The sequence below is a fragment of the Homo sapiens genome, chromosome 10 (assembly GCF_000001405.40).
Source record: "Homo sapiens chromosome 10, GRCh38.p14 Primary Assembly".
Lineage (NCBI taxonomy): Eukaryota > Metazoa > Chordata > Mammalia > Primates > Hominidae > Homo > Homo sapiens.
This window is the reverse complement of record NC_000010.11, coordinates 64,852,597-64,870,846: the sequence shown is the minus strand read 5'-3', so window position 1 is coordinate 64,870,846 and position 18,250 is coordinate 64,852,597. Positions and strand designations below refer to the sequence as shown.

At 33.9% G+C, this 18,250-nt stretch overlaps 1 long non-coding RNA gene across 1 annotated transcript in view; it reads right to left on the bottom strand.

The window, feature by feature from the left end:
- Positions 1 to 18,250, bottom strand: part of LOC105378336 (uncharacterized) — an 88,286-nt gene that overhangs the window by 32,393 nt on the left and 37,643 nt on the right. The window contains exon 2 of the long non-coding RNA XR_946020.2: positions 3,905 to 3,980. This is a non-coding gene — a long non-coding RNA (uncharacterized LOC105378336). The remainder of the gene's footprint in view (positions 1 to 3,904; positions 3,981 to 18,250) is intronic.

Sequence of the window (18,250 nt, the reverse complement as noted above, 5' to 3'; positions counted from 1 at the left end):
ATTTTCATTTGTTTCAAAAAATGATTTGATTTCTGCCTGAATTTTATCATTTTCCCAAAGATCATTCAGAAGCAAGTTGTTTAATTTCTGTGTGCTTGTATAGCTTTCAGAGTGCCTGTTGATATTTTTTAGTTTTATTCCTGTGATCCAATAAGATACTTGATATGATTTTTGTTTACTTGGCCTTTATCTTATCTTTGCATCATATGCTATTTAGTCAAAAAAGCCTTTATTTCAAACACAAATATTATTTATAATTAAAATAAACAGATAAATAAGCAAACAAAAGAAAAAATTCATTTCAACTTTACAGACCAAGGTTTTTTAGAAAAACATATTGGCGCATCCTCTATGATATCTGCATTCTCCTTATGGAAAAAGAATTATTATGGGCACTATTTGTTTCTTTATGTATGATAGAAGTTATATTAAGCATTTTCCATAGATGATAGATAGATGGGTGATAGTTAAATAGAAATATAGATAAATATATTTCTATATACCTACAGATACTTCCATTCGAGATATATATATAGATAGATATAGTGCAAAATATGGTTTTATGTTGCTCTAGATGGCATTTATCTGAGAAAACAGAAATCCAAATAAATCAGGTTTGTATTAATATCACTTTTCTCAGGAGATCTTTATAGATACATATGGGAGGCTGAGCAGTGCTTTGTCAACTTTGCAGAGCTAGGAAGACTAAAAGTCAGAGCTGAATACCAGCCAGGGGTGCCAGAAGTGTGGCCTAGAAAACCAAAGAGAAATTATAGATAGAAGAAATGAAAATATCTGTACCCTTTCAGTAAAAGTAAACTAAGTAAAGCATAAAGTACATCCAGCTTCTAGTCATCAGGTTATGTCAGAAAATCTCAAAATTTGAAAATGGATTAAGGTCACCCTAGATTACTACTAGTGCTCAAAGTGATCAAAGTAAAGTGATGTTCTCTCTGAAGGAAAATAAGACCATAGGTCACACACAATTTCTTTGAATAAGTTTCCAAACACAAGTACAGAAAAAAGTCACAGATAACCATTTATGCAAGATAAAAAGATAACATAAGTGGAAACCAGCACAAAGCATGGCTGTAGAGAAAGACCCACAGATATTTCGGGTTGTGGAGTTAACAGACAGAGGTTTTAAAACAATTATAGTTGCTCTTCTTATGGAAGTAAAACAAAACTTAAACATTTCGGCAAAGAACTAAAGGTATAAAAGAACTAAATAGAATATTTTTCAAAAAATACAACTGGAATGTATTGAAATAAAAAGTAAAGTAAATAATTAAGAGCCTAGTATTATATACACTTAACAGCAGAATCAATGTAACTAAAGACAGAATTAGTTTAGAAAACATGGTTCAAATAAATTATTTATAAAGAAGCAAAGAAAGGAAAACGATAAAAACTATGAAAGAAAGTGAAGGATATAGAGGATGGGGTAAGAATGCCCGGCATACATTTCAGAAAAGACATAGCTGAGAGACGGCTAAACTTCCAAAGCCCAAAAGACTTTCAAGAAGGAATAAAAAAAATTACATAAAGAAACAATACAGTTTAACTGCATAAAACTACACACACATGCACGCACATACACACACACAATTCTAAAAGCATATATGATGTATGTAGAAGATGAGGGAAAATTGCCATCAAATAAGCAACAATTAGACTGACAGTTCACCTCATAAAAGCAAGAAAGCCAGAATACAGTAGAAGGATGTGTTTAATCTACTAAAGGACAATAATATCCATATTAGAATTCTATACCTGGGAAAAATACCCTTCAATTAGGAGAGTAAAATATACTGTTAGTGCTGGGCACAGTGGCTCACGCGTGCAATCCCAGCACTTTGGGAGACCGAGGAGGGTGGATCACCTGAGGTCAGGAGTTCAAGACCAGCCTGGCCAACATGATGAAACCCTGCCTGTGCTAAAAATACAAAAATTAGCTGGGCATGGTGGCAGGCACTTGTAATCTCAGCTACTCGGGAAGCTGAGGCAGGAGAATCGCTTGAACCTGGGAGGTGGAATTTGCGGTGAGCCAAGATTACACCACTGCACTCCAGCCTGGGTGACAGAACAAGACTCTTTCTCAAAACAAACAAACAAACAAAATTGTTAGATTGATTTTTTTTAAATTGATAGTCTTCACAATCAGCAGATTTGCATTAAAGAGAATAAAAGCTAGTTAACTTTAGGCAGGAAGTTAATTTCAGGAAATGACTTCTGTCAGAAGCACAGAAATGTGACAAGGAATAAAGAATGGGAAGTCAAGTTGAATTAAAATTGACTGTTAAAATGGATGTGGACATATAAATACATGAAAAAACAGCATATTCATGCAAGGAGAAGAAGAAGTACAGTCTAAGAGCATAAGGTCTTTTCATTTTCCTAGTAGGGTAAAGATGCTAATTAACATTAGACTTTTAAAAGTCAAGGATCCAGCTTGTAATATCTCTGACAGTAACTAATTGAATAAAAAATGAATGAATCGTCTCTCAACCATTACAAAATAAGGGATAATAAAACGTATTAAATCAGAACAGTAAGGAGAAATAGATAAATAAGAATTATAAATAAATCATAGTGGGATATTTAAATACATTTCTCAGTTTTTGATAAAACAAACAGACTCAACATTAGTAAGCATATAAAAGTTGTACCCCACAACTTCAGGATACCTGTTCTTTTCAAGGACATGTAAAATATTTTTTCAAAATGGATCTATATTGGACCACAAAGCAAGTCTTATGTTATTTCAGTGATCAGGATCCTTATAAAGCAAAGGTCAACAAATATTTTATGTAAACAGACTGTGGGTAAATATGCTAGGTTCTGTGGGTGACATGGTCTTGAGAGAAGAGAGAGAAAGGAACCAGTTAGGCAGATAGCTGGGACAAGTCCTCGGTAGAATTTCTTTTTCTAACAAAGGAACAGCTTGAAAGATCAAGGTGCAAGCACAGATAAGGGGGCAAAGTCCAACATAAAAATGCCTTCTGTATAACTAACAATGGTTACATATACATGGTAGGCTTCAGTGAATACATCCTTTCCTTTCTTGGACATACTCAGATAAGGGAGTTTGCATGGGGAGGGGCTTACTTGAAACGTGCCTGTGCTGCACAGATAAAAGAAGTTACACAGAACCAGACATGTCCACAATAGAGAATTCTGCCCCCAGCACGTGCACAGTGAGGAAAATTAAACAATATGGAGTGACTAGGCTAAGAATCTCCACATGTGCACTAAAAGGACAAGGTGGAGCTGTCAGGAATTCACACCTTATGCAAACGAAACACTTCTTAACCAGTTTTTCATGCCTTTTGAAAATGAAACTTCCCTCCCTACTAACCTGTTTATAAAAGGCTTTGTATTCAACCATAGAATGGCAACCCCTCTTCAATGTGGAAAGCTTTCTCCTTTCCCTTATTAAACTTTTGCTCCAACCTCACCTTTGTGTTTATGGTCCTTAATTCTCCTGGTCATGAGACAAAGAACTCTATGTCCTACGTCAAACAACAAAATTGAAACATTGTGGTGCACTGGCAAGACTGCAACAGTCTCTGCCATTGTAGTGTGAACACAGACATAGACAATATAAAAAAAATAATAATGAGCCTGGCTCTGCACCAGTAATGCCTTATTAAAAGAGGGCTGGACTTGCTCAGCAGGCCATAGTTAACATAGTTAACTAAATCCTCATATAGAGCATACTTCTTAATTACAATAAAATTAGGTTAGAAAAATATAATAAAAAGAAAATTGGAATATCCTCAGACATACAGAAATTTAAAATTTCACTTTTAAAGATGCCATAATTCAAAGAAAACATTGCTAGGATAAAAAATGGCTATAATACATGAAAAAAATACCTCATATCAAAATCTGTGTTACTCACTAAATGAAGTAGGGGTGCTCAGGGAGTTGGCTGATTCCGCATCTGAGGCAGGATATGAACAAGATGAGCCTAAAACCTGTTGTGAAAAGAGAAAATTAAGAAATTTTTCAAAATCACAGTAAAACCACAGGAACCATTTTAAAATTTATCCCTCAGAAGTTGAGACAATTTTTGTATCAAAAAGAATAAAGGTTTCAATGGTTTGAAACATACTGAATACTTTAAAAAATCCATTAGTGTCTAAGAGAAATGAACAAATGGTTATATGGTTAACTTTGGAAGACGATGTGTCAAATTATGAATTAGAAATTATTCATTAAAAGAAATTAAAAATTTTTGCACCCTTTCCTGGAAGAATTTCACATCAGAATAATCAAGACTCCTTGAGGGAAATATTGTAATAGAATTTTTTAGCTTAATAAACAAAGAATAAAAATTGTATTATTATAAAAACATATAAAGTCTACTAAAATAATGGATATAGTCAATAACCATAAATGGCTTCTAAAACTGTAAGTGAAATAGTGATAGAAAAATGTATAATAGATAAATCAGACAGGTAACAACTGTATCAGCTGATCACTTTCAATATCTTAAATAAAGAGACAATCAGAAAGATATGCTGGTAAAAAAGTACTCAACGTCATCTATGAAGTATTCTTTCCAGAAATTCAAATCTTTCATCTGGTCAAGTCTCTAGATTTAACTATCATTTATGAGAAATTCAGGCCAACTAGAAATATATCAAAGGCAGCACAAGATATAGTGAACACATTCTCATATTTAGAAATATCTGTGGAATAAATAACATCATATCTTCAACAAATATAAGGGGAAAAAAGCTGACAAGTAAAAGCTATAGTTTAAAAAACATTTAAAGTACATAACAACCCAATTCAATGTGTGGACCTTTTGTTTAAATTTTGACTTAATAAAACTGACTGTAAAAAGAAAGATGAAAAACAGGAAAGTTCAAAGATAGACTGGCTATTGTAGCATATTGAGAAGTTGTTATTAAAAATGTTAGATGGTAATAATGTATTGTTATTTTGTTTTAAGTATCCTGTCTTTTAGTGATAAATACCATAATGTTTACGGATGAAATCATGTGATATATATGTAAATCTCCTTAAAATGTTAAGGAAAGGATGACAAAGTGTGGGGTAGATATTGTGAAGGAAAATCTTGGGGTCTGAAAATCACTAATCTAAAGGAAAAAGTCAAGCTGGGAACTGCTTAGAGCAAACCTGCCTCCCTTTCTATTCAGAGTCATCCATCTGCTCACTGAGAAAAATGCATATCTGATTGCTTCCTTTGGAAAGGCTAATCAGAAACTCAAAAGAATGCAACCATTTTTTCTACTATCTACCTATGACCTGGAAGTCCCCTTAACACATCACGTTGTCCCACCTTTCTGGACAGAACCAATATACAACTTACATATACTGAGTGATAGCTCATGTCTCCCTAAAATGAATAAAACCAAGCTGTGCCCCGACCACCTCCGGCACATATCATCAGGACCTCCTGGGGCTGTCATGGGCGCACGTCCTTAACTTTGGCAAAACAAACTTCCTAAATTGACTAAGACCTGTCTCACATAGTTGGGTTTCACAATATCAAACAAGATTGACCATGAATTGATAGTAATTTATACTGGAATTTATGTACATGACAGGAGGGTATAATTTTGCTATTTTCTCTACTATGTATATATGTGAAACATTTCTTAATATAATCTCTTAAAACTTAAAAAAATGTGTGGGAATCAGCTGTAGTTGTGCCAGAGGAAACAATATAGCCTAGAATTCATATATAAGAAAAAAGATTATATAAAAAAATCTTATCCATATTAAAAGTTTATAAAAGAACACTAACTAAATTCCAAAGAAAATACAAGAAAAAGGTGATACAGACTAGGAGATCATAAAACTAAAATATAAGCAACAATAAAGAGAATAAAAAAGACAAAATATTTTTGAAAATCCAGTTGAGTTGGGATGTTTCTGATGAGACAGAGAAGTCAAATGTGAGAAAAATTGTAAATGATGAAAGTCAATATCAGGGATAAACAGAGGTGTTACAATAGATTCTGTAGATATTACAAAAACAATAAAAAAGTTATAGAAACACACAAATAAAATTTAAAAGCTACATTAAATGGATAATTTTCTGGAAATAAACAATTATGACACAAGAAGAAAAAGCTGAGCATTGTTTACTATTATAAATGTAGAATTTATAATTACAAAGCTTTTCATGCTTTACAGAAATATTGTATCAATTATTTTAAACAAAATTATATTCGATTTGACATAAAGTTTTCCAAAGAACTGAAAATTTCAGAAGAGTGACAGACTCGTGTTACTAATCCAGTATCACCTTTATGCCAAACATTAGGTTGTTGCAAAAGTAATTTCAGTTTTTGCCGTTGAAAGTAATGGCAAAAACCACGATTACTTTTGCACCAACCTAATAGAGAATACTGAGAGAACAGAACATTATTGGTATCTTACCTCACGGATTTTGAAGCCAAACCTTAAATTCAACAAGGTACGGAATGAATAATAAAGGAACAATATGTTGGATGTGATAATGGAATGCCTGTTTAGCTTAATATTAAAAAAGCAGTCATACTTTGCCACAGCAATATATTAAAGAAGCAAAATTGTATAACATTTTTACTAGATGCATTTGTAAAAGCACCAAACTAGGACTAGAAAGGAATTTCCTTGATATGATACAGTCTGTTTTCACAAACTATAGAGCAAACACTTTATGGTGAAACAGCAACCTTTTTTTTTTTTTTTTAACTAGGACCTTACCAGGTGAGGTAAAAACAGCTTGATTTTCAACTTCCAGCAAGTGCTTCCTGTTGCCTGAGGGCTTTCTCCTGCTGCTGAGCCAGCTTTGGTGCCCCTGTGGCAGTCCAGATGTGCCAGGGAATGAATAGCCCTAGAAGCAGCTCTCTGCATGGCTGATAGGAATTAATGCATACATACCCACCATCTGCACCCTGGCCCTTGGGGGGAACAACTGGGAGGCATGTGTCCTCCACTGATTCGTAGTTTCTTACCCATGCAAAAGTGCCAGTAGCCCACAGTAGAAGCTGGCATCCTTTATCGGCTATCTTATTTTCCTTCATTTTTTCATATCTTTAATAAACTATTTGCACTAGAATCCTAATCTCAGTGTCTGCTTCTGGGGAATCCAAACTAATTCATAATATAATTTTTGAAAATCTATTTACTTTGATAATAATAAATTCATTTATAAAATAACGTATAATTTTAATTGATTTTACAGCTATTAACTTCTCTTCTTACCATTTAAAAAATGGAAAATGCCTAACAGTCTCACTCATTTAGGATAAACAAAAATGCACTCTGCTTTAGCACAATATTTAATAGAGTCAAGCATTTCATAATCACAGGAATATAGTTCAACAGTTTCACAGGCACATATGAATATACAAACCTTTGTATGTATGTTTTGTTGTGGTTGTTGTTTTATAACAGGACTACTTCTAATTCATATTTTAGATTAGGTATAAAATAATTACAGAACAGTGATGCAATAGAGGTGGCTTATTTCCCTGTATTCTAAACATTACACATAAAAGAATTTAAGACAAAGTAACATTACTGGTTAGTTACTCCTTACACCTTACCTCTTCCTCTAGGAATGAGGAGAGATTATCTGATACAGTGGGAGAAGAAACTGATCCTCATTAGCTCATCAGCTTTTTCTTTGGAGCAAGCCTATTCACAAGATGCACGAATTCCTGTGAGAGGCTTCCTCTCAAGGAGAGCCCTGGGATTGTCTACACTACAGTATTAGGTTAGGGATGTCTGTCCAATTCAGGAGTGAAGTCTGAGTAAACCCACTGTATTAGCCTGTTCTCACACTGCGATGAAGAAATACTCGAGACTGCATAACTTATAAAGAAAAGAGATTTGATTGACTCACAGTTCCACATGGAGGCCTCAGGAAACTTACAATCATGGTGGAAGGGGAAGCAAACATGTCCTTCTTCAATGGCAGCAGGAGAGAGAAGTGGAGAGCAAAGGGGGCAACACCCCTTATAAAACCATCAGATCTCATGAGAACTCACTCATTATCACAAGAACAGCATAGGGGAACTGCCCCCATGATCTAATCACCTTCCACAAGGTCCTCCTCCAACACATGGCGATTACAATTCATATTACAGTTCGAGATGAGATTTGAGTGGGGATACAGAGCCAGACCATATCACCCACTTAGCTGCAAACCAAAGCTGTCCTTTAAATAGCACTTTCAGTTAAAAGTGGTATTTTCATCTCCATTTATAAAATTCCTACATGTATCTCTCAATGTGCTTTGAACTCAAGGGGGAAAAAGGGAGGTATTTATCAGCCCCTTAAAATCACAAACTATTGAAAAAGAATCTCTAGGGGTGAATCCAGACACTTTATTTTTAACAAGCCCCACAAATTATTTTAGTGCACACTAAGTTTGGAGAATCTTTAGAGACAATGATATATATAAGCATACAAGTTACTTTCCTGGAAAGAAGATTTTATTCAAAATTTTAAATTTGTAATTTTTAAAGCTTTCATTTAAGTTTTTATTAAGTACACAATAGAATTTTTTAAAAAAATTATTACCGTAAAATTATATTTAATCAACTAAACCTAGTTTAGAAAATAAATATTTAATTAAAATATTTAAAATGCTTATTTAAATTGAATAATGATAAAACAGTTAACATATTTATAACTCTTTCAGTGTGTTCAATGGTATACTGGGAAATTCTCTAGAATATTATCTTGATTGAGGAAGATATTTTCCCTCAACGCCCACATCTGCACTCAAGATGTCCAGATTCCAAGTGTGCTGTTCAGTGGGCCTCTGTGTATCCAACTCTCCAGGACTGTTGGTTGGGTTGATCCCAGAATGGATTGGTGGTTTTCTGTGGATTTTCAAATATTAGAAGAGCTGGAAGTTGAGACTCTCCTGTCTGTGCCCGGAGCTTTCTTCCCTTCCCTAACTGAAGAATTCTTTCCTTTTTCTCTTCCTCTTCACTTCAGCCCTCTACTTCTGGTTTGGAGAATAGACAAACTAGCTGTGTAGATATGCATTCAAATATTTCTATCTTATGCTAAAGCTAGTGTCTTTTTTCAGACTTTGTTTTTGCTTTGTGTTATCTTGTAAAGTAAAAGTGGTACTGCAGTAACTAATGACAGAGGAAAAGGAAAGCAAAAATTTGGAAAGTAAATAAATTCATAATTTAGAATACAACAAAATAGAAAGGCTAAAAATAAGAAAATAGACTTGCCCTTTAAACTTCAAAACCCATTCAAGATCAATGGAAAAAAATAGATAATGAGAAAGTGTCCATATGTGTGTGTTTCTAACCTCAGTCTTTCTCTCTCCCTCTCTCTCTAGCCTTTCCATACATATTGTTCACATGACAGCAAAGGGACAGATGGTAAATATTTTAGTGTTTATAAGCAGTCATTCTCACAACAACTTAGCTCTGTCTTGTAACGCAAAAGCAGCCATATACGTACATGGACAAATAAGCATGGTTGTGTGCTATAGTTTGGCTCTGTCCCCACCCAAAACCTCATCTTGAATTGTAATCCGCATGATCCCCACATGTCAAAGGAAAGACCAGGCGGAGGCAATGGAATCATGGGGGCGGTTTCCCTCATGCTGTTCTTATGATGGTGAGTTCTCACAAGGTCTGATGGTTTTGTAAGTGTTCCATAGTTCCTCCTGCGTTCATTCTCCTTCCTGTCACCATGTGAAAAAGGTGCCTTGCTTCTCCTTCACCTCTGACCTGATTCTAAGTTTCCTGAGGCCTCCTTAGCCATGCCGAACTGTAAGTCAATGAAACCTCTTTCCTTTATAAATTACCCAGTCTCAGGCAATTATTTATAACAGTGTGAAAATGGGCTAATACAGCATGTTCCAGTAAAACTTTACTTTCAAAAGCAGGTAGTGGGATTGCCTCCTGGTTAAATTTAAAAAGATATAATCCTACAGGGAGAAAGGGTAGAAAATTCAGTAAATGGCAAGGTACAATTTTTCAAACACCCATTTTGTAACCCACAAGTAACTTCCAGATAGTACTATAAAATCAAACTGACTTTTAAACCTATTATCTATATTCTAAAATATACAAAAGACATAGTGTCACAGACTTATTTATTACAAATAATTTTTTCCAAGAGAGTTCTTGATGGCCTCATTTAAAAATTGAACATGTGGTTTCTTTTACTCTTGACAATGAGTATTACTACAATACAGCTTGGAAGGAGAAGCAAAATGCAGGGATTTAAAATATGAAAGTAAAACTTAAAAAAAAAGTTATTGCCCTGAACTTAATTTCAATACCTTCTATTTATAGTGCTTCATTGGTGACTTTCTTATTCCATAGTGCTTTAAGACCAACTCAAATTACTTTCATTCTAGATATAAAACTCATTCTAGATATAAAACTTCCATAGGTATTTTGACATTGTCATAGTAATTAGTATTAAATATTGACAAAAAGTTTTGAAGAACATATATGCCGGGGTTTTATCAATACACTAACTAAAAACATAAAAGCCAAACTAGAATTGCAGGCAATCTTATTATCTGATTCCATTAATTTGGTTTGCATTTTTTGAATATCACTGAATTTTATTTTACTTTTCAAAGAGAAAGGCTAAAGAGGACATTGATAATTAGTGAGACCTTCAAGATTCAATCTCATGAGAACAAAAAAATGTACAGTGTTTTCTCTTAAGGTCTATCTCTTCTTTTGAGTAAGAGTGCCATCTGCAGCTGTGAATCTGGATGCTGTCAAAGTAAGCTCTTCGTGTCAGCACAATCACATCCAGGTTATGCCTTTGTGGAAGAGTAACCTGCTTCTATTTGCTGAAAGTAGGCATACCAATTTATCCAAACCCAGGCAACTCGACCCTTCAAAATAGGCAATGTTATCTCACTTATATCTTTGACTATAATTTCAAGGCAACTCATTTGAAATACTAATTTACTTTAGATATGAAAAACGTATTCTTTACATCTGACAAGATACCACATTTTAACACCGGCCACAGGTAAGGGAACGTAGTTATAAATATAGCATCAACTTCTTGAGGAATGATACACATCTATCATATAATTGAAATAAGATCTATTATGAGAGAAGTTCTTCACAGTGAGCACGTCTCCATCATGAAAATCATCCTAATTGCTAATAATACCTACAACATTTTCATTAGTTATACATATAATTATGAAAGTATATGTATTATAGAATTGGATGTCAGAAGGATCAGTATTATCAGCTAGAGCAAAATAAATATAGGAAAGCATGCTATAGTTAAAAAGTAATAAATTTGTATCCAGATGAATTGGATTTGAGTCTGAGTACCTCCACTGATGGAGTCAATTTATCACCATAAACATGTTTCCCTCCTGTAAAAATGATTTGAATAATTATTTCCTACTTGACATATTTTTAAAAATAATTCTGTAATGACATAGGAATGGGAAAGACCATTGTAAACCTCAAAGTACAGAGTCATTTTCTTGGTCATTAACGAAGAAACTCTGGGGGTTTTATTTTTATTTTTATTTTATTTTTTTGAGACAAAGTTTTCCTCTGTCCCCCAAGCTGGAGTGCAGTGACATGGTATCGGCTCACTGCAACCTCCACCCACTGAATTCAAGTGATTCTCCTGCCTCACCCTCCTGAGTACATGGGACTACAGGCCTGTGCCACCATGCCCGGTTAATTTTTGTATTTTTAGTAGAGACAGGGTTTCACCTTGTTGGCCAGGCTAGTCTCAAACCTCTGGCCTCAAGTGATCCGCCCACCTCGGCCTCCCAAAGTGCTGGGATTACAGAAGTTTTCTTTTTAAATGTATGCCAATGTTGTCTATTTTTACCTTTTTGTAAAAGTCATCTGAGATAATTTCTCCACATAGAGATTCCCAAGCCCTTTCCCTAGAGATTCCGATTAAGTCTTATTCTAGCAGATCTCAGTAATCTTTATTTTTTTGTCAAGGCATGTATGTATCTTTCTAATGATCAGGCCAGTTTGGAAAATATTGACTTATATTCTTCATTTTAGTAAAAGTTATGCATATAATGACTCAAATGTTATGGAATTTGAACTGAAATAAAATTTTAGGTATGCAATATGAAACAAAATTTCTTACTCTACTGTTTGGTCATCCATAGAAAATTTATCTTTTATTTTAATGACCAGTGGTATACCCAACATGAAATATATTTAACTGATATCTTCTTTTTGTTGGTAGAAACACATTCAGGACTTAAGGAATTCTATCATCTTCTTTATGATATTTCTTAACTAGAGGGATACATTAGAATCAATCTTGACATTTTTCTGAATATATTTGCCTAGGAAATTCATTGTCAACATGTTAATATTATAAAAAGGGAACCATTAACCAGTCATTCCTCCAGTGTTATTCCTCCTGATTAAAGAACACAGCACCTCCTATGTTATCCTATATATGAACATAAGAACATATTATCTGACCCCACAAAAGTGAAACCAGAAAAATCCAACTAGTAGAAATTCTGCAGAACGATCATTGTGGTTTTCTCAACAAATAAAGTGACCGGGAAAAAATAGAAATAGAAAGAAATGTATACATAACAAGAAAATTAAAAACTCAGACTTCGACTATAATTTACACAAATAAACAAAGGGAGATCATTTGAAATTTTCACATTTATAAGATGTCTGATTATATTAAGGAAATAATCATATTTGTTTTAGGTATCATGGTAGTATTGTGGTCATGTTAAAGATTCTATCTTTTAGAGATGCATACAAAAATATTTCTGGAGTAAACAATATGATGTCAGGAATTGCTCAAAATACTCCAAGAAGCAGAGAGTAAAAAGGTTGTGGGTGACGCTGGTGGTGTTTGGGAATGGGTGATGGGCATATGAAGGTGCATTTTGCAGTCTTTCTGCTTTTAAGTATATTCAAAACTCTCCATAGTAGACAATTAAAAATAATAAATATATATAGGCCCATCTCTAACAGTGCTGACTTCACAGTTTGGTGGTAAACCCTAGGCATCCAAATTTTAAGTAAGATGCACAGATGCTATCTGATGCACAATCATGGCTTAAACGTACTATAAAGGATGTATTTATATTTTATTATATTTATATTTGATACATTTATTCATATTTCTATCATTTCACTTATTTATATGTGGGGCATTCATACAGTCCATCTTTAATGAATCATTGAAGTAATTAAGTTTTTTCAGACTTGACAGATCAGTTTTCTTAAAATGATTGCAGATATGCCTGTGATTTTATTAATGCAGATATTAAACTTGCTATTTTCATGAAATGCAGAACTCCTGACAATAAGATATTATAATAAAGACTTAAATATTTAAACCTAAAATATTATAGGCCTTATAATATTTTAAATATGTTGGGGTAATCCAGGTTGCATTATTAGAATAATTCTATTGAGAAAGAGAAGAAAAAAATTGTTCACATGTGAGTAAATATGTAGAAGTAGAGCTCTTACCAACGAAAATAATATTGAAGCATTTTCCTTGAACACTTAGAGAAAATGCAATCATTAACATACACTGATCCATGAGAAAAGAAAAAATAATCACATCCAACTAGAATCAGTGGTTCTCAATTCTGGTTATTTTCAAATTGCTTAAAGAGATTTTTTAAAATTATCAATGCTCATACACCAAATATTTGGATGCCATTGTGTTAGGGTTGAGTCTGAACATTGGTATTATTTTTAAATTCTACAGATTATTCTAATATGTTGCCTGGTTGAGAAATATTTTGTTGTAGACAAAACAACTCTCTATTTGGATAAGAACTTTCAGGAATTTGCTCATTATATTTATTTCAAGAACAATATAACCTGGTTATAAATAATAAGGGAATATTACAATCTAACACCCAACGAGTATGAATAAATGAATTCATTTCAATTGAGCCCTTGGTGTGGATTTTTTTTTCTTACTACTGACCTGTGTGTGTTATAACAACATCTTGACTACATGTGTGTTCTTTCTAGAGAACTCTGTGGAATGTCATATGTTAGAATAAGATGAGTCAAGTACATCTTTTGCCACCACGGAGATTTTAATCAAGGCTACAGTTAAACATGATTACATAATCATGCAATCAGCAACATACATGTATTGACTGATTACTATGTGTGGGAGCTTCTATCAGTAGCTAGGAGACACCACAATGAATAAGAGCTTAAATCCTGGCGAATTTCATCCTAAAAGATAAAGTGAACAAGCAAATAAATGTAAACACAGTGCTTTCAAATTCTGACAATTACTATAGGTGATATGTTGGAGGCTGTTGGGTTCGAGGATTGTTTTGCACTTATTGCTAAGGAAAAGCTTCACTTAAGGATACTATCTGAACTGAAACAAGAATGAAGAGAATGGGTTAGATATGTTGAGATAGGGGGAATTGTTTTCCAAGCAGAGAGAATAGCCTCATCAAACATAATCAGTAAAGATCCTTGCACCTCCCAGGAACAAAGAGGAAAACAGTATGGATGAAGCTTATTGAACAAGAGCAAGAGGGAGAGATAGGAGAAAAGGTCAGAAAAGTAACCAGAAATCAAATCAAGTCGTGTAGTAGTGTCTTTCATCTATAGTATGGATGTTTTATTTGTTTTGTTTTGTTTTTTGTTTTTCCTCAAGGGCAGTGGAAAGCCTTTTTAGAGTTCTAGGCAGGGAAGTGACATGGTCTGATTTATACTTTCAAAAGGTCACTCTGGCTGCTGTGCAGAAAAAGGATTACAAGGCAAGAGTAGAAGCAGGGATCCCCTGCAGAAGAAAATTGCTGTATTCCAGGGAGGAATGATAAAATTATTACATAACATGATGAAATAAGAATAAGATGCAAGTAAAAAATCTACATCAGTGTGAATTAAAAAAAAAATACTTATGGGGCCAGGCGCAGTGGCTCACACCTGTAATCCCAGTGCTTTGAGAGGCCAAAGTAGGAGGATTGCTTGAGGCCAGGAGTTCATGACTAGCCTGGGAAACATAGTGAGACCTTGTCTCTATTAAAAAAATAATTGTAATTATATAGTGTCATGGTGCACACCTGTAGTCCTAGATACTAGTGAGGCTGAGGCAGGAGGATTGCTTGAGGTTGCAGCGAGGTATGATCATGCCACTGCATTTCAGCTTGGGCAGCAAAGTGAGACCTTGTCTCCAAAAGTAATAATAATATATATAACATATATATAATGTGTATAAATTTAATTTATACATTATATATGTTATTATATACATGACTTTTTAAAAATCATTTCACATATACATGTGCAATTTCCTAACTACACAAATTTAGACAGCAGAACTATTAGAAGGATCATCATTTAATCCCAATTTCTTTTTTGTCAAATTTCATCTAGTTGATAGACTATGAAGCTATTGTTCTGGATTTCCAAAAGCATGTGAAAACAACTCTTTCATTGAATTGTTATGATAATCTTTCACTGCTTTGTATCAATCCATATACTGTTATGAGATAAAGATAAATGGTGTGTTATAAATTTAGACTTTATAAAAACAGAATCACCTGGGCATCTTTTAAGTAAGGCAGTTATACAATCTGATTTCTGCATTATCAAGGTCACTCTTGATATTGTCTAAGAAAGTCAAGAACAAAAACAAAAGATATGTTAGATGATCTTTGCCTTTTAAAATTATGGATTAGATCATGTCACTTTCCTGCTTAGTATTCTTAAATCCAGAGAAGCTATGACATTATCTTAGGCAGCTGTGTAGATGCTGGGACATGATAGGATACATTTTGGAGGAAGATCCAAATCAGAAGTGTGATATTAAAAAAAGAAAGAAATCAAACATTGGGTTTTGAACTTTATAACTTGATGACTGTTAATGCCATAAACTGAAGTAGAGAAGACCAGGAAAAGAAACCGTTTTCGGGGAGAAATAAAGAACTGCAGTTGGGGCATGTTAAGCATATAATATCTCTTTTTTTTAAATGAATCAATTTCTTAAATTGATGTATAAAATTGTGTGTATTTATCATGTACAACGTGATGTCTTGAAGTATGTTTACATTGTAAAGTAGTTAAATCTAACTCAATTAGCAAATGCATCACCTCACATAGTTATCATTTGTGTAGTAAGATCACTTACCATCCAGTCTCAGCATTTTTCAAGAATACAATATATTGACCAAAGGGAGATGTTAAGGCTTGGGTGCATAGCTTAGAACTCAGGCGGATATTGAGGATTTGAGATGTAGATCAAAGCCACGGGCCTGAAAGTAATCATTCAGGGCACAACTAATGACCATGAGGAAGGCTGAAGACTCACCTTTAGGGTACTCTAACATTTAAAGAAGAATGAGATACCAGCAAAGACATCTGAGAGGAAGCAGCCTATAATGTAGGTGAAGAGGTTAAGGTATCTGTTAGTATGGAATTCAGAAGATAGAAGTATTGCAAGAAGCCAGTGGTAGCAGAACATTTCAAATACTGGTAAGATATAAATAAATTTTATGAATTTCTCTTCTGAGGACAGAGACTAAACAAAAATTAATTGGAGGTGTTTCAAATGAATTGATGCTTATATAAAAGAAAGAACACAAATTGCATTAGTTAAAATAGTTCATCTGGTGACATAATGAGTCTAAATTCTTAGTGGTCTGTAATCTAGTAAAATGGAATCTAAGTTTAGTGGCTCCACCAGTACCTGAGATCTGAAATGACTCTGTGGACCTCTTGCCTCCAGGCAGGAAGCAACGGAGAAGGGAGAAATAGAATAAGTAAGAGCTTTTTAACTGCCTTGGCCAGGTAATGATACATCACTTTCGTCAACTTTGCATTGGAAAAAAATAAGGAATATGGCAAGCAGGATGAGACATTTCATTTATTGGTGTTCCCTATAACAGAAAGTAATTTCACTAATTTCTAGCCAGTCTCTGCTACATGAATATTTTAAAAAATCATTTCAATATCTCTAATTATTTTATTTTATTAAAATACTGGAATATTATTCCATTGATTATGTAAGTTGGTGCCTTAATTCAATGCATTTGGTTTTGCTGCTGTCCATATCCCAGTTACAGACTTTCCTTATGATGCTGCTATGGAATTTAACTGACTTGATCTGGTAATTAATTTATCAAGTGCTCTGGAATTTATGTAATTCCCGTGTGAACTGTAGTCTATACCTTTTCATTAGGTATACTTCTCATTTAGACTGTCTCTTATATAATAAAAATATAGTATACTAAAAAGATAAAGTATTACATACTAATTTTAAAATATTCTGGCATATTTACATTCCTTATTTGAATATACATATATATGTTTATATACACACATATACATGTATATATCAGGTATATGTATATACATGTGTAGGCACTTATGCACATATATACACTTACACACAGGCATATATAGGTGTAAAGAAATATGTTTAAGCTTGTATTTTAGAAAACATCACCATATTGCACTTATCACATTAGAACACTGCCTCCAAGGCTACTTACTTATTTCCCCAAATATAGTAAGTCATTAGATATTAATATGCAAATATAGTTCAATGATAATATTGTGTTCTATATAGTCAATTTAGAAGTTCATCAAATTGGCAGGGCACGGTGGCTCATGCCTGTAATCCCAGCACTTTGGGAGGCCCAGGCGGGTGGATCACCTGAGGTCAGGAGTTCGAGACCAGCCTGGCCAACATGGTGAAACCTCGTCTCTACCAAAAATACAAAAAATTAGCCAGGAGTGGTGGTGGGTGCCTGTAATCCCAGCTACTCGGGAGGCTCAGGTAGGAGAATCACTTGAACCCAGGTGGCAGAGATTGCAGTGAGCCAAGATCGCGCCACTGCACTCCAGCCTAGGCAACAAGCGTAAAACTCTGTCTCAGAAAAAAAAAAAAAAAAAAAAAAGTTCATCAAATTATAAAAACTTCGATAGGTGGTAAATAAGAAAAGAAGGCAAGATTTTATTCATTAATGCTCATTTAAATTGAAATTGTTAACAAAACTGCTTGTATATTCAGCATTCAATAAGTTGCTTCCCTAAAAATTGGACTAATAACAAACTAGAAATTTAAAATAATGTATCTGCTGACTCCTAGTTGTACATCACTAGACATAAATTGTGATTATTTTAACATGCGGCACATCATTACTTTGAATTATGGTATTTGAAAACAGAATTTTTTTAAGTGTAGCTGTTCCTTTGGTTGAACTGTCCTGAAAAGAACTGGTTAGGTGAAGGATGATACTGTTGACCTCCTGAGAGTGCTT